The following is a 22,418-nucleotide window of genomic DNA, read 5'->3' on the forward strand; positions in this document are numbered from 1 at the left end:
TGTAACGTTCCTCAACACAATAAAGGCCATATATCAAACTCACAGTTAACATACTCAACAATAAAAAAGCTAAAAACCTTTTCGTAAGATCAGGAACGAAACAAGGATGCTCACTGTCACCACTTCTATTTGACATAGTACTGGAAAGCCCAGATAGTGCAGTTAGGCCAGAAAAATGAATTAAAAGGCATCTAAATAGAAAAGAAAGAAACTAAGTTTTCTCTGTTGGCAGATAAAATGATACTATATATAGAAAATGTTAAAGCATCCACCAAACAACTGTTAAATTGTGAGAACTAATAAATTCAGTAAAGCTGCGTGATACAAAAATCAACAAAAATAAGCAACATTTGTATAAACTAACAATCAATGATTTGAAAAATAAATCCAGAAAACAATTCCAACTACAGTAGCCTAGAAAAAACCTCAGGAATACATTTAATCAAGGAGATGAAAGATCTCTACACTGACAGCTATAAAACAGTGATGAAAGAAATCGAAGAAGACACAAATAAATGGAAAGTTATCCTGCGTTCATGGATTGGAAGAATTAATATTGTTAAATATCCATACCAGCCAAGGTTATCTGCAGATTTACTGCAATCCCTATCAAAATTGCAATAATATTTTCCACAGAAACACAAAAAGCAATCCTACATCCTCTGTGAAAACACAAATGTCTCCTAATGGCCAAAGCAATGCTGAGCACAAAGAAAAAAAGTTGGAGATCTTACACTACCTGAACTCAAAACCTACTACAAAACTATAGTAACTAAAGCATGGTACTGGCATGAAAATAAACATAGACATAAATGGAACAGAATATAGTGCCAAAAACCAATCCACACCTTTAGGATCAACTGATCTGTGACAATGGCACTAAGAACATGCAATGGGACAAAGACAGCGTCTTCAATAAATGTTAGTGAGAGAACTGTAAATTCCAGTGGAGAAGAATTAAATTAGACTCTTATGACATACCACTCAAGAAAATTAACTCAAAGTTGACTAAAGACACATCTAAGACATGAAATAATAAAACTTCACAAAGAAAACTTAGGACAAATATCCTTGACATCAGTTTTCACAACGATTTATTGAATATGACACCAAAAGCATAAGCAACAAAAGTAAAAATAAATAAGTGGCCTTACATCAATATGAAAAACTATCAGGCATGGTGTTGCATGTCTGTACTCCCAGCTATTGTGAACCTAAGAGTTCAAGGCTGCAGTGAGTTCTGATTGTGCCACTGCACTCCAGCCTAGGTGACAGAGCAAGACAACTGTCTCAAAAAAAAAAACAAAAAACAAAAAACAAAAAACTTGTACCTCAATAGAAGCAAAGTATGAAGGAAACCTACTAAATGGAATAAAATACATGCAAGCCACATACTATGGTTTGAATATTTGTGTCACATCCAAAATTTATGTTGAAACCCAATCTCCAATGTAGCAGTATTGGAACATGGGGACTTTGTGAGGTGGTGAGTCATAAAGGATCCACATTATGAATGAATTAATGCCTCATAAAAAGTCTTCACACAGTGTTTTTCCCTTCCTTCTGCTATGTGAGAACACAGCATTCTCCCTTCTAAAGGATGCCCCAACATGGTTTCATCTGGGAAGTAGAAAGCAGACTTGACCAGAAATTGAATCTGCTGACACTTTGATCTTGGACTTTTCAGCCTCCAGAGCTATGAAAAATACATTTTTATTGTTTACAAACTGGCTAGTCTGTGGTATTTTGTTATAGCAGAATGAACTAAGACACCATACATCTGATAAGATGCTAATACCCCAAATGTTAAGGCATTCAAACAACTCAACAACAAGAAAACAAATAACCCAATTTTAAAAATAGCCAAAGGACTTGATAGACATTTCTCCAAAAAGGAGTCATTCAAATGACACCAGGCATATGAAAAGGTACTCAGTATGATTAATACTCAGGGAAATGCAAATCAAAACCACAATGAGATATCACCTCATACCTTTTAAAATGGCTATTCTCAAAAAGTCAAAAGAAAACAAGTGTTGTTGACGATATGGAGAAAAGAGAACCCTTATACATTCTTTCGAGATTGTAAACTAGTACAGCCGTTAGGGACAACAGTACAGATGTTCCTCAAAAAATTAAAAATAGAGCTGCCATTTGATTCAGCAACCCACTTATGGGTACATATCCAAAGGAAATGAAATTAGTATGTTGAAGAGATATCTGCATTCCCATCTTTAATACACATACAGCCAAGAAATGGGATCTAAATATCCATCTACAAAAGAGTAGATGAAGAAAATGTGATATATATACATAATGGAATACTATTCAGCCTTTATGAAGAAGGAAATCTTGTCAGGTACCACAGCATGGACAGACCTTTTTATCCATATACCTTTTCATATACCTGTTGGTCATTTGTATGACTTCTTTTGGGAGAAATATCTATTCAGGTCCTTTGGCCATTTATAAAATTGGGTTATTTGTTTTTTTGCTATGAGTTGTTTGAAAGACACAAAAAGATAAATACTGCATGATATGACTTATATGTGGAATCAAAAAAAAGTTGATCTCATAGAAGTGGAGAGTAGAATAACAACGGTTACCAAAGACTGGAGAGGATGTGGGTGAGGGTGTTGGGGAGAGGTCAGTCAAAAGGTACAAATTAACAGTTAGATAGAAGGAATTAGTTTCTATGGCACAGTAGGGTGACTATAGTTAACAATAATATATTGTATATCTCAAAATAACTAGAAGAGAGTATTAAATGTTTTCAGCACAAAGAAATAAATGTTGGAGGTAATGGATATGCTAATGAAGCTTATTTGGTTATTATACAATGTATACATGTGTCAAAACACCACAATGTACCCATAAATAAGTATTTATGACAAATTATTATTTGTCAGTTGGAAGTAAAAGATAAATAAAAAAACCCCATGTTATGAGTATTTCTTCAAAAATTTGTTCTCAGTTTTAATATATCCTTTGAATTGGAAGGTGAGAACAGCTAGTTAATAGGCTTTATCCATTTTGAAATAATTAACAAATTTAAATGTTGAAAACTATTATTCTAGGATTTTGTGTAAACAGATTTGTTTCATGCCCTATTTTGTACTACGTTCTTTAATTGTCAATTGCTGTTTATTATAGTATTGATTCTTTTTACTTTCTTGTTCTTTATCATTATTTTATGATACCATTATTAGATTTGTGTAAGAATGTCGATCTGGCTAATTTCAAAAATAAAACAACTACATTTACTCTGAATTAACTAGTTAGCCAAGGAGAGTTTATGAAACCCTCCAGAGAACCAATCAGATTTATTACTATTAACTATTAGACACTAAGACTAATCCTTAATGACAGTCCAATGTAAACCATTTGTTGAGATATAATTACAGATATATTGTCTGAAATATCAATAATTTAATGACATTAAAGATCTTTGAAAATGTCAAATTGTTATATATATTTATATGCCACTTTTATTTATATACCAGCCATACATTCATGCACATACACATAGTGCCATAGGTTTGAATACTTTACAGTTAACAGTCCTGACTTAGCATGGGAAGCTTTGATTTGGAAAATTTGTTCTTGGCAGAGATTCAGAATTCTAGTCAGCAAAGCATTTTACTACTTGGAAATAAGGAGTTCTTGGTATTTTAAAAGAATTAATGAATAATGAAATGTAAAGCAATATACACATTATATATTATAATAATTGTGTAACATATAACATAATAATATATTATTTATACTATATAATAATATACATATTATACATACAGAGGTTTTATATATATGTACGTCTGCCCTCCATATTCGTGGGTCCTGCATCTGCAGATCCAACCAACCACAGATCAAAAATATTGGGTGAATAAAACTGATGATTGTGTCTGTACTGAACATGTACAGGCATTTTTTCTTGTATTCAGTATTATACATGATCTAGAGATGATTTAAAGTATACACCAGGATGTAAGTTATGTGCAAATATATGACATTAAGTAAGAGACTTGAGCATTTATGGATTTTGGTATCCACAGGGAGGTCCTGGAACCAATTCCTCATGATTACCAAGTGACAACATGTATACAGCGATGCAGGACTTCTGGTGGCCACATGTCAGTCAGAAGAAGACTATGAGACTCTTGCAACAGTGGAGGTAAATTTGTGTTTTCATATAGGGTAACTAGACTTTGACCAATAAGTATCCTGGGAACCCAAAAGAGGAGGACACTATCATAGCAATAATTGTAAATTGACTTATTGTAAACCCTGTAATTTAGATCAACAGCCCATGTGCTTCTGGTATGCTTTGGAAAAATCAGAAAGTTTAAACTCAGACAGTAAGTATTGATGGTAGATTACTTCTTTCTGGATTTGCTTTGTTCCTCTTAGACATTTTTCATTCTGGCTAATAACTAACAAAATAAATACCTAAAAATAATGCCAAAAGAATAGAAGACCATTTTATTATCCTTTTATCTTAGGTAATAAGTATCTACTAATATGCAATGTCTTTCTTGAGATAATGAGTATATACTAGAACAAAGTTTTTAAAATAATATTCAGCAAGGTACAAGATATTGTGCTTAAGTTACTAGTCCTGTAATTAAATTTGAGAATAATTGTTTTGGGTATATAGCATAATATTTGAATATTATATGTTATTAGTAAATTATATAATAGGCTAATTATCAATAAAAGTAAACAGCTTCTGAATTTTGTGAGTCATTAGAGTTAGTCTATATACATCTCATGAGTAACTTAATCATCTAAAAACTTTGCTTCACCACATAAAAACCTAATTTGTTTTATATTATTTTAATAGGAAATCACTATTACCAGTTTTATAATACAGTCTAGAGATAATTTTCTTGTTTATGATGATACATGAGTTTGATTGTCTACTTAACTACAATTTTACTTTATTTTACTTATATTCTCTTTCCCAGGAGTTTTCTGTTGTCAAACTATGAAAGATGTATGCTCTGGGACTTAAGCAGTAAAGACTTTATATAAATGAATATATGATAGATGTGAAGACTTTTTTATCTTTTTAAAATAGCTAGTAATAGGAAGATTACTTAAATAATGCGCTTCTGTGGTTTAAATTCTTAAATTAATTATCTGCTGATTTGAAAGAAAGATGAACAAGAAAGAATATTGAGACTGTAGTTTGTTTACCATTTTACATTTTATAACAACTCATGCATTCATGTCTATAATCTGTGGTATTTTTCGCAATTAACAAAGTATGATTTTTAAAAAATTAATTTATTGCATTAATCATTCTCTCTTCCTTTACTAATTGCAATAACAGTTAGCACCTACATACTGATCACCGTCAGTTACTGGTTGATATAATTTGGTCTGTGTCCCTAGCCATATATCATGTCAAATTGTAATCCCCAATGTTGGAGGTGGGGCCTGGTTGGAGGTGATTGGATCATAGGGGCAGATTTCCCCTTTGGTGCTGTTCTCATGGTAGTGAGTGAGTTATCCCAAAATCTGGTTGTTTAAAAGTGTTTTGCACCTCCCCCTCCTCTCTCTTCCTCCTGCTCCAGCCATATAAGACATGTCTGCTTCCCCTTTGCCTTCCACCATGATTGTACGTTTCATGAGTCCTCCCCAGCCTTGCCTCCTGTATAGCCTGAGGAATCATGAGCCAGATAAACTTCTTTTCTTTATAAATTACCCAGTCACAAGTAGCTTTTTATAGCAGTGTGAGAATGGAGTATTACACTGGTGTTAGCACCTTACCTGCATTAACACCTTTAATCTTCATAACAACTCTTTGAGGTATGTACACATAGTATCACTATTTTTCAGATTATAAAATTAAGGCATAAAGAAGTTAGGTAACTTACTCTACAAGACACAGCTAGTAAGTGACAGGAGTGTCATTCTAGTCTACGTGTTCTATTGTGAAGTGTTAACCACTACTTAGTATAACTTCTCAGCCTAGCAATCCACTTTGTTGCGATCACATAAGACCTACATGGCAAGGAAATAGAGGAATAACCAGGAAGGAACTAAAACACTCAGTTGAACAACCCTTGAGGGATTGAGTCATGCCATTTATCATGTGAGTCAGTTTGGAAATGGCACTTCCCTAAGTCAAGACTTTACATGAGCCCACAGCCCAGACTGACACTTAGATTACAGACTTATGGTAGGTCCTGAAGCTTCCTGACCTATAGAAACACTAAGATAAAATTATGTGTTTTTATAGGCTACAAAGATGGGGGTAATAGTTTATGACACAATAGATAATACACAAATCAACCTTGATATTACATGGAGGTAAATGCACAAGGCTGTGAAAAACAGAGGTAGAAATATTCAGGGTCATCTTAAAAGTTGACTGCCACAGTCCACCCTCTGTCCCCTAATCATTAATATCACTCATATGCAAAATAAGTTCACTTTTTCTCAGAGACTCCAAAAACCTCCAAGGCCTCCACTATAGGATCAGCTCAAAATTCACGATCTTTTTATCTAAATTAGATCCAGGTAGAGATGAGGCTATTTGAGTGGAGTTTCACTAGGTATAGTTGTATAAGTATTCTCTCTTTACTTAATAAACTACCGAGACAAGTTATCTAACCTCAATACATCCAACATACAAGGAAAAGACCGGAATAGGACAGCTAATTAAAGGTTTCTGCTCATAAAAGAGGAAACGAGGTGCATAAAGGAGTCACTAACCCATTGCAATTTTGAAATTCAATGGAATAAATGTTGGGATTATCTTGATTGTGTTCTAAATCCTGTGAAAAACTCCCCATGATTCTGCCTTCTCTGGGCTTTTAGTATTGTTTGATTCATCCATCTTTTTTCATAAAAGGGAGCATGTGTTTGTAACTGAGTAATTTTCTCACCAGCTGCCTGCTTATAGAATTTTGGGAATCCAAATTCCTTTTTAAAATTTTGTACTGCTTCTTCCATTTCAGTCTAAGCTTATGATATTTCTGTGAAAAAAATATGTATTTATGTATATTATTCTCCTGAAAATCTTATTACAATTCACTCCATTAGACAGGATTTCCCAACTTCAGCACTATTGGTGTTTAGGTTTTGAGCTGAATATTTTTTGATGTATGTGTGCATTTTTTGTAAACACATTACAAAGTGTTTGGCAGCATCTGTGGTCTCTGCCCTTAGATAATAGTAGCACCTCCCCAAATTGTGATAACCCAAAATGTTTCTAGACATTGCCAAATGTCACCTCTGGTTGAGGAAGCAGAAGCTCCCCTAGTTAAAAATTATTTCCACTAGGCTACAATTCTTCAGCATAATCCCTTTTGTACATTGAGACCTTGAGCTCCTTCTAAGGTGGTTGAGGGACCATGTCCTTAAACTGCTTATGAGCTCTACTGTTGTTTGATAGAATCTCTGAGGTGTACTCCTAATCTTTTCAGGCCGTTTATCTGACTGAATGCTTCTTTAGTTCTTTAGTGGTCTAAAGAAAGATTTTAGAGTCACACCGTTGACACAATCTTGGCTTCTGTTTTCCTGGCCATTCCCTGGATGCGATCCTTGCTTGGAAGCTATTCTTAATGTTAGCATCGTTTGCCACCTGGGAATGCTGAGAATTTTCCAAACTGTTAATCATGACTCTCTTATTTTTATTAGCTCTTCCTTAGTGTAGCTCTATTTTCTTGCACTTTTTTATAAACAGCAAGAAGAAACCGGGGAGCATGGTCAGTTCAATACTTTGGTTGGCATTCTTATTATCTACATCACCCAGTTCATTTGAGACATTTTCTACTTTTCACATAATTTCAGGAAACAGTGTTGCTAAACTTAATTATGTTACATAGAAAAGCTTATCCTTCCCTCAATTTACTGTAGTATTTACCTTATTTACTAGACGCCCTCACTCACAGCCTTGTCAGAGTCCAGGAGGGTTCAAGTAGCAGTTTCTTCAAATTACTTTCGTCTTTCACCAACCCTTGCTGCAAAGCCCTCTTTCCAGTTCCAAAACCAATCCTGTTTTTGTTATAGCAGCATACCACTTTTGGGTACCCAAGCATTCATTATTTATTGTTGCACAGCAAATTACCACAAACGTGCGGATTAAAACAACAAACATTTATTATTTTAAAAGTTCTATGTGTCAATGGCCTGAGACCTGCTTAGCTGATTGATTCTGGCTCAGTCTTGCTTGAGGCTGCAAAGGAGACATCAGCTGTGGCTTTGGCCACCTGAAGCCTTGACAGTCTGGAGGATCCTCTTCCAAGCACACTCCCAAGGCTGTTAGCAAGATGCTCTAGTTCCTTGCAACACGGGTCTATGCATGACTGCTCATATTATGTCTCCCACTAGAGCAAAGGATGCACAAGAGAAAATGATTTCAAGACAGAAGCCGCAGTGCATTATAACCTGTTTATTGAATATACCATTACTTCTGCAGTATCCTATTCACCAAGCACAACACTGGGACAATATGGTTGAGCATTATATAGGAAAATGGATACCAGCAGGCAGGGATCACAGGGGGTATGTTGAAGTCTGGCTACTTCATTAGTACAGGGGAAAATGATTCAGACCCTAGAGGCTACCACATTATAACTATTAAATAAATATTGACTGAATAAATCCTTGATGACAAAACTGCCAGTGAGAATTTCATTTCCTTTTGAGTTTTATTAATACTGTTAGATAAAACACCTTTAAATGATATTTCTTAGTATCTTTCACTGGATGATGACTTATCCTTAGTAAATATTAAAATAGTAATCATAATAAATTTGTGAAGCATGATTTCTACTAAATTTGTTTTTTGTGACCTAGTTACTATCAATTATAACTTATCTGATTTATGTTTATTTATATGTATTTGTTTTATACCTTCAAATATTTTAAAAATTTTCAAGGCAGATTCCCCATTTGTGTGATTCTTTATTCATCTATATATATATCCAAAATAGTTGATATCAGGATCTCGAAGAAATACCCGCACTCTTATGTTAATTGCAGCATTAATCACAATAGCTAAGATATAGAAACAACCTCCACTTTCATTAATGAATGAATGCATAAAAATGTGTAAATATACAATTAAATATTATTCAACTTTTAAAAAGAAGGAAATCTTGCCATATGAAACAACATAAATGAATCTGCAGGATGTTACACTAAGTTAAGTCAGTCACAAGAGAGCAGATACTGCATGATTCCACTTTTATGAGCATCTAAAATACTCAAACTTATAGAAAAAGAGAGTAGAACTGTGGTTTGTAGGGATGACAGCAGGGAGACCCAGGAAGTTGTTCAACAGGTACAAAGTTTTAAGCATGCAAGTTTTAATCATGCCAGAGGTCTGCAGTACAACACGGTGCCTATAGTTGACAATACTGTATTGTGCACTGAAACGAATTTGTGAAGAGAGTAGATTTTAAGTTGTGTTCTTATTGTAGTAAGAATAAATATGAAGAGAAAGTATGTGGACACAGAATATATGACAAATCTAGATTTGTCATAATTCTAGAATCAGATCCTAGAATCTGAAAATATGTGTGTGTATGTGTTTGTTTTCTGCAGTAGGAAAATATTTGCCTGAATTTTTTTAAGAAGCAAACTCTGTAAAGGATTCACATAATGTGAGGATATTAAATATGCTTGCATAAACAACCCCAGGATTCTTATTTAAATATATCTATACAAAATACACATAAATCTAGTTAAATTAATAACTTTGGAAAGAAGATAAAAAATTCTTACTCCCCAAATCAACAAAATTTAGACAAGAAATTCTTTTAAAAACCCAAAGACATTGGACTCTAGTGCTGATGATGCATCACAAAAGGATGAATAACAAAAAAATATATTTATGTAAGATATTTTACTGATTTTTGAATGAAATTTCATTATTTCCACCAGTTAACACATTTATACATTTGTGGTAAAATTGTGACTTAACGCTTTTTATCAATTGCTGCATTGATCATAAAGTGTTGCCCATTTTTATTCAAAGATAGCTATACCAAACCCTAAGTAGGATCAAATAAAAACCAGACAAGCTTGAAGGTGGAGGGAACAGAATTCTCTCTAACACAGGACCAAGAAAATTAGATTCAAGTTAATGGACCGAGAAAACACTTACTAAAAGTAAAATGGTATTGAGATGCTGTCTCAAAGAAATTAGTCAGATTATTCAGGGTACCCATTATTTTGGGTTAGGAACTCTATATTTTAACTATGTTTCCCTTACTTACTTCTAGAGTAAAATCTAGTTTTATTGTGGCCAGTTGTTATGTGTATAAAATTTGGGTTAAAATGATACATTTTAAATTATATTAGGCTAATACACAATACTGAACGAAGATTTATTTCTATAATAAAATGAAAATACACACAAACTCATAGATAATTATATCTTAAAATGTGTCAATTATAAACAAGAATCTTCCATTTTATTGTTAACCAAGTAAACTGAATTCTACGTCCCCATATATGAGAAGGCAGAACATATCTGTATCTTTTCCTATCAGTGTACTGAATCTTGAAGCCATAATTCAATAGAAAGGGAGATAAAAATCAATGGTGCAGGTATGTGCCAAGATAGTATAACTACTGAGAAATGGAAAAAAATGTGAACTTTTTCTATTACTTGTAAATAGTGTCCACTTATTACATTTTTTGACAATTTTTCCCAAATATAATATTTTGAATATGCTTCTTAATTCAAAAAAGCATTTTTTGGGGGAGGTGATGTATTTTGTATTATCCACAATAGTTTTTCTATTGAATATTATTTAACCAATTCATGAGAAGTAAAAGAAATGACTTAGAGAAATGATGAAGTACACTTTTGTTCTGTAAAATTAAATCTGTTTGAATAAAATCATGTTAATTATTCCACTCTCTTCACCTAGTAAATTTAAACAAATGACTAAGCCAGTCTAACACATAACTCATTGTACTGCATAAGATAATAATTAAATAAGCAAAGAGCATCATTTGGTACTGATCATGGATAATTTACAGTGCAGAATATATAGAGCAATAGTTGTACTCGCCCTCTTCATGACAATGTCAGTGACTCGCAAATGACAATTCAACAGCTCTGCAGAGGCTAATTCATGAGGAGCAGCAGCAATGTACTTATAAGAGCTTGCTCTTTTAAGAGAATGAATTAAATGGCAATGCCTGTGATTATATCATAATGATTAACTTAAGTGAATATAATGAAGCGTGTAGTGAATTCCTAATATCCTTTTCAGAGAGAGTGGTTATCCTAGTCTACCTTAATCTCGGTTATGTTCGAAGTGTATTCTACTAAAAATGTGTGGTTTCAGGGATCAAAACTCTCAGGCATCATGTGGCACAAACATGAAAAGTGTAAGATAAATGTTTGCTGGCATATTCATTAAGGTTTCCAAAGTAGACAGTTTTCTTATTCTCCGGCAGTTTTTTTCTCCACATTTCATCTTATTGAATCATCTTTCTTGTACAAAGGCACATTTATTATACACATGAATTGAATAGACATGGCACTTCTTAGCTCCTTATTTCAGCTGTTACCATGACTGACATAGCTCTCTGCCTGGCTAATTTGGTGAGACCAGTCAATACCACTGTGAAGGTTTTAAAGGAAAAAACTTGTCAGTGGGATCGCAACCTGCCTCCCTGCTGTGAAGAGACAATGCTTTAACATCACAATAACTCACCCCAAAATATACAGTACCCCTGAGGTTTATGTTGCTATTAAATTTCTAAAATAGCAAATATTTTGAATTGTACATAAATATATAAGCTTTAATGCTTAATAAAATATTAAGAGTGAATTTAATGACATTCAGAGCATGTAAAACAATGAAAGTTTTTCTTTCATTCCTACTCTTTCATTTTTAGCAGCTGTTATTGACTGGTGAGGCGCAGCTTTCCACTGCTACAGGCTTGGCCATAGTTTTCATCAGTTGGGAAATTAATTGCTGCTTATTCCTAGTTTTATCAACAGAAATTGGACTCAAAAGGATTTTTTAAATTATTTTAGGTCTTCTTTCTTTATTTTTCATATTTACTTTTACTGAGTGTTGACCTATTTTTTCTACAAACAAGACCAACAAGTGAAAATGCAGTCCTAGCTGTAGACTGGGATTTTAATTCTAGGAAGTGAATTTTAATTCTGGGAAAGTAAGCTGCATAAATGGTTTGTTTTTTAAAAGCATAATGTTTTTAAAAACATTAAATGCATCGATAGATGACATTCATACTTCAATTTTGTCTCCAGATTTTCATTTCATCTGATCCTGAAATCACTGCAGTGTCTTATAGGAGCTGCAACCAGCCACATTTCAGAATTACAGTATCATATTCATTACATAATCTATTCAAATTTTACTTTTAACTGCTGCTGAGGAATGTAGAGGCTAATAGCTCTAACCAAGTATCTACTTTGAATAGGCAGATAATTTAGATGGGAATTAAAGAAAGGTTTACTTTTTTATCACATTTTGAGAACATTCATTATTTTATTATTATGAAATGGGTTCTCTTATAAGAAACAAATACAATTATAATACACTACCTATGCATGGGTAGAAATATTAACCACTACAAAAAGTTATAGAGTAAAGCCCTTGACTCTTCATTCTAGGGTTTACAATAGATATAATTCTTGTATATCTTTATAAAATACACAGATACACATATATGCACATGAGTTATTTCAAAAATGCACATTTTAATTTATTGTGCACACTCATATGTACATGAATATCTTACTTAGCATTTTCCTGCAGACCATTTCGTGGCAGTACAAAAAGAGCTAACTATTTAGTAAATATAAAATGTTATCCATATGTGATCGAAGTGTTAAGTTCATTTATATTTAATGTAATTAATGATATGGTAGAATTTACCTCTGCCATTATGTTCTTTGTTTTGTATATGAGTTATGCCATTTATTTCCTATCTTCCTCCAAAACAGTCTTCTTTTGTGTTAAATAGGTATTTCTTGTATATTTTTATTACACTTGTTTAATATTTTGGAGTTATTTCTTGGTGGGTATTAAAATCAAAATTCTAATTTAAAACAATCCATTTCAGATGTATACCAACCTTATTTCAATAATATACAAAAACTTAGGGCCAGGTATGGTGGCTCATGCCTGTAATCTCAACACTTTGGGTGGCTGAAGGGAGCATATGACTTGAGCTCATGATTTCAAGACCATCCTGGGCAACATGGTGAAACCTCATCTTTACAAAAAAAAAAAAAAACAACAACACAAAAATTAGCCTGGCATGGTGACATGCACCTATAGTCCCATCTACTCTGGAGGCTGAAGAAGGAGGATGGCTTGAGCCTGGGAGGCAGAGTTTGCAGTCAGCTGAGATTGTGTCACTGCACACCAACCTGGGCAATAGAGCCAGACCTTGTCTCAAAATTTTTTTTATTCTAGTATTTACTTCTGTAGTTACTTGTATTGGTGCTCTGTATCTTTTTGTGTGTATTCAAGTTACTAATGTCCTTACAGTTTACCCTGAAAGACTCCTTTTGTTGTTTTCTATAGGGCAACTTTGCAAACAGCAAATTCCCTCAGTTTAGTTTATCTGAGAATACGTATGTTTTGTCTTCATTTGGGAAATATAATTCTGCTTCATAGAAGACTCTCTGTTGACCTTTTTCTTCTTTCAGCAATTTAAGTTTACATGTAAATTTAAGGGTGATTTTTGGATGAGATTAACATTTAAATCTGGAAATTTTGGGTAAAGAAGGCTACTTTCAATAAGGTGGGTAGACTGCCTCACCCAATCAATTGAAGCCTTGAAGAGAATTCAAAGAAAACTTCCCCAACTGATATGGTTTGACTCTGTCCCCACCCAAATCTCATCTTGAATTGTAGCTCCCATAATCCCCACATGTTATGGAAGGGACCCAGTGGGAGTTAATTGAATCATGGGCGTGGTTTCCCTCATGCTGTGCTCGTGATAATGAGTTCTCATGAGATATGATGGCTTAATAAGGGACTTTTCTCCCTTTTGCTTGACACTTCTCTCTTGCCTGCCACCATGTAAGATGTGCCGTTGCTCCTCCTTTGCCTTCTGCCACGATTGTGAGGCCTCCCCAGCCATGTGAAACTGTGAGTCCATTAAACATCTTTTTCTTTATAAATTACCCAGTCTTGGATATGTCTTCATTAGCAGCATGAGAACAAACTAATGCAGTAAATTGGAACCTGGTAGTGGGGAACTGCTGTAAAGATACCTGAATATGTGGAAGTAACTTTGGAACTGGGTAATAGGCAGAAGTTGGAACACTTTGGAAGGCTCAGAAGAATTCAGGAAGATGTGGGAAAGTTTGGAGCTTCCTAAAGACTTGTTGAATGGCTTTGACCAAAATTCTGATAGTGATATGAATAATAAGGTCCAGGCCAAGGTGGTATCAGATGAAGATGGGGAACTTGTTGGGAACTGGAGTAAAGGTCGTTCTTGCTATGCAAAGAGACTGGCAGTATTTTGCCCCTGCCCCAGAAATCTGTGGAACTTTGAACTTGAAAGAGATGTTAGGGTGTCTGGGGAAAGAAACTTCTAAGCAGCAAAGTGTTCAAGAGGAAGCAGAACATAAAATTTTGAAAAATTTTCAGCCTGACAATGCAGTAGAAAAGAAAAATCCATTTTCTGGGGAGAAATTCAAGCTGGCTGAAGAAATTTGCGTAAGTAACAAGGAGCCAGATGCTAATCATCAAGACAATGGGGCAAATGTCTCCAGGGCATGCCAGAGACCTTCACAGCAGCCCCTCCCATTACAGACCCAGAGGCCTAGGAGGAAAAAATGGTTTCCTGGGTTGGGACCAGGGAAGCCCTGCTGTGTGCAACCTTAGGCTTGGTGTCCTGCATCCCAGTTACTCTAGCTCTGGCTAAAAGAGGCCAAAGTACAGCTCAGGTCAAAGCTTCAGAAGGTATAAGCCCCAAGCCTTGGCAGCTTCCATGTAGTGTTGAGCCTGTGGGTGTGCAGAAGTCAAGAATTGAGGTTTGGGAACTTCTGCCTAGATTTCAGAGGATGTATGGAAACACCTAGAAGTCCAGGCAGAAGTTTGCTTTAGGGGTGTAGCTCTCATGGAGAACCTCTGCTAAGGCAGTTTGGAAAGGAAATGTGGAATGGAGCCTCCACAAACAGTCCCCACTGGAGCATTGAGTAATGGAGCTATGAGAAGAGGCCTACCATCCTCCAGATGCTAGAATGGTAGATCCACCAACAGCTTGCACCACACACCTGGAAAAGCTACAGACACTCAATGCCAACTGTGAAAGCAGCTAGGATTGGGGCTGTATCCTTCAAACTCATGGACGTGGAGCTGCCTAAGACCATGGGAACCCACCTCTTGCATCAGCATGACCTTGATGTGAGACATGGGGTCAAAGGAGATCATTTTGGAGCCTTAAGATTTGACTGCCCCACTGGATTTTGGACTTAACATGGGGCCTGTAGCCCCTCTGTTTTGGTCAATTTCTCCCATTTGGCATGGGTGTATTTACTCAATGCCTGTACCTTCATTGTATCTGGAAAGTAATTAACTTGCTTTTGATTTTACTGGCTCATAGGAAGAAAAGACTTGCCTTGTCTCAGATAAGACTTTGGTCTTGGACCTTTGGGTTAATGCTGGAGTGAGTTAAGATTTTAGGGGATTACTGGAAGGGCATGATTGTATTTTGAAATGTGAGGGCATGAGATTTGGGAGGGGCCAAGGAAAACATGATATAGTTTGGCTGTGTCCCTACCCAAATCTCATTTGAATTGTAGTTCCCATAATTCCCACGTGTCATGGGAGGGATCTGGTGGGAGGTAGTTGAATCATGGTGCACTTGCCTCCATGCTTTTCTCATAATAATGAGTGAGTTCTCATGAGATCTAATGGTTTTATAAGGGGATTTCCCCCTTTTTGCTTGGCACTTCTCTCTTGCCTGCCATCATGTAAGATGTGCCTTTGCTCCTCCTTCACCTTCTGCTATGATTGTGAGGCCTCCTCAGCCATGTGGAACTGTGAGTCCATAAAACCTCTTTGTTAAAAATAAATTATGCAGTCTCAGGTATGCCCTTATTAGCGGCATGAGAACAGAAAAATACACTAAGTAAGAGAAAAATTATTCAGTAGACTGCTCTTTGGAGTAGTCCTTGCTCCTAGTTTTTCTAGAAAAAATGGAGAGAAAGAGAAGAATAAGCTCAGAGACTTGAATTCCCAGCTCCATCTGCACCATCAGTTTTCTTGGGTGGGTTTCAAGCCTTCCAGCCCATACTGAAGATTTTGGACTTTTCAGCCTTCATAATTGTGTGAGCCAATTCTTTATAACAAAGTTATATTGTTTCTTTGTAGAACTATGGCTAATATAGATGAATTCAGGTACTAAAAGTTGTTCTGTAGGAACAGAATCTTAATGATGAATTTTCTGAATTACTTCAGAGGTTTCTGAATTTGGCTTTTTAATTTGATTGTATTTAAAGACCCAATAACCCTACTTCCAGTAGTAAAGAGTACAGATAGCTAAGGGTGTAATCTGGCCACAGAAATACATGAATATTACCATTGGATACCCCTAATTAAACACTTATCTAAAACAAGGATCTGAGCAACCATGTACATGAAACTTTCAAATATTTTTGCCTGAATAACTAGTATAATTAGATAGGCTCTTTGCTCCTAATTTCCCTAGACAAAATATATATAGAGAAGAATTAGTTCAGAGACTTGAATTCCCAGCTTAAGCACCATACAAAGATACAATCTTCTATATTGGCCCTAAAAGAAACCCATATCTCTTGTAGCCATATGACTGAGATTACTGAAAACCAAACCCAGAATATCACCTTGTGAGTGGCTGAATTAGAATGCAAATAGAAATCTCAGCCCCACAAGATGGCTACTATTAAAGTAAGGGCATGGATAGGAAGGAATGGAATCTTGAAAGTTAAAACCAGGAAATGTGGGAAGACTGTCGTGAACCCAGGGACCTTGAGTTTCTAAATTCTGATGAGTCTTCCTTGCCAGCAAAATCAGCCTCTCTACCTCTAATAAAAGTTGCCTCTCAGTCTTCTGAGTGGATTAACCCCGCATTGTCTGAGGAAACTCTAAGTGCCTCCCCTGATACAGTTGCCTTGTAAGACAATGCTGATTCTCCTTAGGTCCCACCTTCACCATCCCTCTTTGCTTCTAGACCTAAAACTAGATTCAAGTCCTGGTAGATGCTCAAAGGTGAGGTGCAAAGTGTGACCTATGAGAAAGTGCACTACATACCCCTCCAAAAAAACCACTTAAGTTATCTAATCAATACAGACAGAAATCCAGGGAATATATGAGTGTGACATAATAGAATATAAAATTGGATCAGGCCAAATTCATGGATATGGGCCTACTAAGTAGAAAATCTACATTTAATGTTGTGGCTTGAGAAGTTAGAAACAACTCTTAACAGTATGCTTCATTGGTTGGCTGAAACATGTACCATAAAGTGACACAGAATGAGAGAGCTAGAAATGCCAGATATGCCTGGGTTTACTATAGATGAAAAGATTCAAAGGCTTAGGGATATTGGAATGGTAGAGTGGATTTGCCATTTAAGACCTACTCACTCAAGCTGAGAGGTCTAGAAGACACACATTTCACCACCATTGCAAGAAATACATATGTAAGGGGAGCCCCAGCATCCTTTAAGTGCTCGGTGGTCTTTCTTTCCTGTAGAACAGAACTTACAGTGGGAACTGTAGTCACTGAATTGGGAAGCTTAAATGCATTGAGGATAATTAGATCCCAGGGTAAGGGAGGCCATGTGGCAACACTCAGCTGCCAAAGGCAAGATGGGCACAGTTACCATAATGAACAGCAGAGTCAAAGCAGTAATCAAAATAATTTGCACCGACCTGCAGTGTTAGCTTGTTGATTATTGTGTTACCAAAAGTAAAGTAGATGGAAAGCCTATTAAATTCTTATCTGATCTGTACAAGCAGAAACTTACTAGGTTAAGTGAACAAAAGCCTAACCAGAATCATAAAGACAGAGTGTTACTACCTCTCAATCAATTCCAAGACTTGAGCTAGTTTACAGACCCAGAATCTCTTGAATAAAGTGGCAGCTGGGTCCCTTTGAGAAAGGATTCTGGTACACTGTCAAAAATTTATATTGTTAATATTTTTCCCAGACTTCCCAAAAGGACTCATGGCCTTTTGCAAGGTAACTGTTCATTGGGGAAAAGAAAATAATCAGATCTTTCAGGGACTGCTAAACACTGGTTCTGAACTGACACTAATTCCAAGAGACCCAAAACATCACTGTGGTCCACTAGTCAGAGTATGTTCTTATGGAGGTCAAGTGATCAATAACATTTTCCCTTAGGTAAATTCATGTATATGGGCCCACTAAGCAGAAAAGAGGGGACCTAATGGATCCCCAAATCAATTCTGTGATTATTTCTTCAGTTTTGGAATGCATACTTGAAATAGACATATTCAACAATTTGCAGGATCCCGACATTGTTTTCCTGACATGTGGAATAAGAGCTATTATGGTGGGAAAGGCCACGTGGAAGACACAAGAACTTCCTTCTAGAAAAATATTAAACCAAAAATAACACCGTATTTCTGGAGGGATATAAAGGGATTCAAGTGCCACTCAGGTATTAGTGCCACTGTCAAAGACTTGAAGGATGCAGGAGTGGTGATTCCCACCACATTCCCATTTGACTGGCCTATATAGCCTGTGTGGAAGACAGATGGATCTTGGAGAATGACAGAGGGTTATCTAAACTAATCAGATGGTAACACCAATTGGAGCTGCTGTACCAGATCTGGTTTTATTGCTTGAGCAAATAACACAACTTCTAGTACCTGGTATGCAGCTATTGACTTGGCAAATTGTTGTTGGTATTTTTCATCCCTATTAATAAAGATGATAAGAAGCATTTTACTTTCAGCTAGGAAATCCAACAATACACCTTTGCTGTTAAACCCAAGGGTTGTATAAACTCTACAGCACTATGCCATAATTAATTGGCAGATTCTTGATCAACTTTCTCTTTCACAATATATAGCACTCATCTATTGCACAGACCAATACATATATCATACATATTCTCATATGTAATGATAACACCATGCTGATTGAATCTAGCGAGGAAGAAGTAGCAACTATTTTAGACTTATTTATGTTTACCTGCCAGAGGTGGGAATTAAATATAACAAAAGTTCAGGGGACTTCTACCTCAGTGAAATTTCCTGGAGTCCAGCATTGTGGGGTGGTGTGGGGGCATATTGAGATATCTCTTCTAAAGTGAAGGATAAGTTGTTGCAGCTGGCACCTCCTACAGCCAAAAACAGACACAGCATGATTCTAGTGAGCCTCTGTGGTCTAGTGAGACTCTTTGGATTTTGAAAGCAACATATTTCTCATTTGGATGTGTTACTCTGGGCCACTTACTAAGTAACCCAAAAAGCTGCTAGTTTTGAGTGGGGCCCAGAACAAAAAAAGCATCTATGACAGGTCCAGTCTGCTGTGCAAGATGTTCTGTCACTTAGGCCACATGATTCTGCTGATCTAATGGTGCCTGAAGTGTTAGTAGCAGATAAAAATGCTGTGTGGAGCTTTGGGCAGTTCCCTGTCAGATGACTGCCATGCAGGCATTTAAAATTTTGAAGCAAAGCCCTGTGACCCTCTGGGGATAGCTACTCACCTTCTGTTAAATATTTTTTGGCCTGCTGTTGGGCCTTTGTAGAAACTGAAAGATTGACCATGGGCCACCAAATTACCAAGGGTCCTAAGTTGCCCATCATAAATTAGGTGTTTACTGACTTACCAACCCATAAAATTGGACATGCACAGCAGCATTTAATCATCAAATGGAATTGGTATCTATAAGATCAGACCTAAGCAGTCACTGAAGGCACAAGTAATTTACATGAAAAAGTGACCCAAATGTCCATGGTCCCCCACTTCTGCTAAACTACCTTTTCTCTTCTAACCCTTACCTGTGGTCTCATGGAAAGCTCCTTATGATCAGTTGACAGAGAAAGAGAAGACTTAGGTGTGGTTTACAAATGGTCCTCCATGATATGCAGCACCACATAATAGTGGAAGGTGCGGCACTACAGCCCCTTTCTGGGACATCCCTGAAAAATAGCCATGTAATTGTCCCAGTCAGCAGAAATTTGATAATGCACCTGGTTGTTCATTTGAAGGAATTTGATCAAAGAAAAAATGGCAATTTTTCCTTCAAATGGAAAGATGTGCAATTATATACTGAATCATAAACTGTGGCCAGTGGTGTATCTGGATGGCCAGGGAGTTGAAAGGAACTTGACTGGAAAATTAGTGACATGAAAATCTGGGGAAGAGATATGTGAATAATTACAGCACAGTGGCTCACGCCTGTAAATCCAGCACTTTTGGGAGGCAGAGATGAAAAGACTGCTTAAGCCCAGGGCTTTGAGACCAGCCAGGCAACATGATGAGATCCTAACTCTACAAAAAACACAAAAATTAGCCAGGTGTGGTGGTACATGCCTGTAGTTGCAGCTACTTTGGAGGCTGAGCAGAGAGGATTGCTTGGACCTGGGAGTTGGAGGCTGCAGTGAGCTACGGTATGGTCAAACCACTGCACTCCTGCCTGGGCAACAGAGCAAGACCATGTCTCAAGAAAAGAAAAGAGTTATGTGGATAGGCCTCTCTGCATGGTGAAACACATAAAGATGTGTGTGTTTTATTTCAATGCCCACCAAAGGGTGACCACACCAGAGGAGGATTTTTAGCAATCAAGTGGATAAGATGACCTATTCTGTGAATTCCTGCAACCTCTTCCTGTAACTGCCTCTGTCTTTGCCCCATGGGCTCGTGAAACAAGCAGTCATGGCAGCAGGGATAGAGTTTATGCATAGGCTCAGCAATATAGACTCCCACTCACTAAGGCTGACCTGGCTATAGCCATTTCTGTGTACCTAATCTGCCAGTAGCAGAGACCAACACTGACCCCCCCATTTCCCCCACCACCACCCATATTGCACCATTCCCCAGGGTGATCAGCCAGCTACCTGGTGGCAGGTTGATTACATTGGACCACTTTCGTCTTGGAAGGGGCATTGTTTTGTTCTTGCTAGAATAGACACTTACTCTGGGTACAGATTTGTCTTCTCTGCTTGAAATGCTTTTGTCAAAACAACCATTCGTGGACTTACAGAATGTCATATCCACCATTTTGGTATTCCACTCAGCATTACTTCTGATCAAGGACCTCACTTCACAGAAAAAGGAATGTAGCAATGGGTTTCACTGGTCTTACTGTGTTTCCTATCATTCTGAAGCAGCTGCCTATAGAATGGTGGAATAGCCTTTTGAAAACTCAGTTACAGTGCCATCTAGATGGCAACACCTTGCAGGACTGAGGCAAGGTTCTCTTGGAGGCTGCGTATGCTCTAAATCGGCATCCAATGCATGGTGCTGTTTCTACCATAGACAGAGTTCACAATTCCAAGAATCAAGGAGTGGAAATGGGAGTGACACCACACACTATTTGCTAGTGTCCAACTATAAAAAATTTTGCTTCCTATTCATGTAATCTTATGCTCTAGTGCACTAGCAGTATTAATTCCAAAAGAAGGAAGGTTACTACCAGGGAACACAATGATAATTCTACTGAACTGAAAGTTGATACTACAACCTAACCATTTTGAACTATTCATGCTTCCAAATTAATAGGCAAATAAGGGCATTACTGTGCTTTCTGGGATGATTTTTCTGGACTACCAGGGAGAAATTGGACAATGGAGGTAAAGAAAAGTACCTTCAAAAAGTATGTCTTGAATACAGAAACTAAGGTATCTTAGTATTACCACACTCTGTGATTAAAGCTAGTTTGAAAACTACAAAAACACAATCCCAGACAAGATTACTCATGGCCTGGACCCTTCAAGAATGAAGGTGTGCATCACTGCACCAGATAAAGAACCACAATTAACTAAGGTGCTTGTTGAAGCCAAAGGGAATATGGGGTGGATAGTGGAATAAAGTAGTTATGAATACCAGCTACAACCATGTGACCAGTTAGAGAATTAATTATTCTAATTGCCATGAGTATTTCACCTTTGTTGTGAATATGTGTGTAGGAATTATATTTCTTTTACTATGTTATTCCTTAATCATGTAACATAAGATGTACTGAACTCATATAGTATTTATCTATTATTAATTTTACATTGCAGTATTTCAGTTATAAACTATAAAAGAGAAGGGTAAACATCAACCAAATACTTTGTATCCTCTTTGGGGGATGGAGTCCTGCATGTTCAGTTGTACACAGAATAGTTTTATCATGTTAAGTGAAAGTATAACCTTGTTACTGTTGTTATTTTGGAGATCAAGTATGGTTTAAGAAGAGGCATATGGGTGCCAAGTTGACAAAGGGTGGACTTG

This window comes from Homo sapiens, chromosome 13 (assembly GCF_000001405.40).
Source record: "Homo sapiens chromosome 13, GRCh38.p14 Primary Assembly".
NCBI lineage: Eukaryota > Metazoa > Chordata > Mammalia > Primates > Hominidae > Homo > Homo sapiens.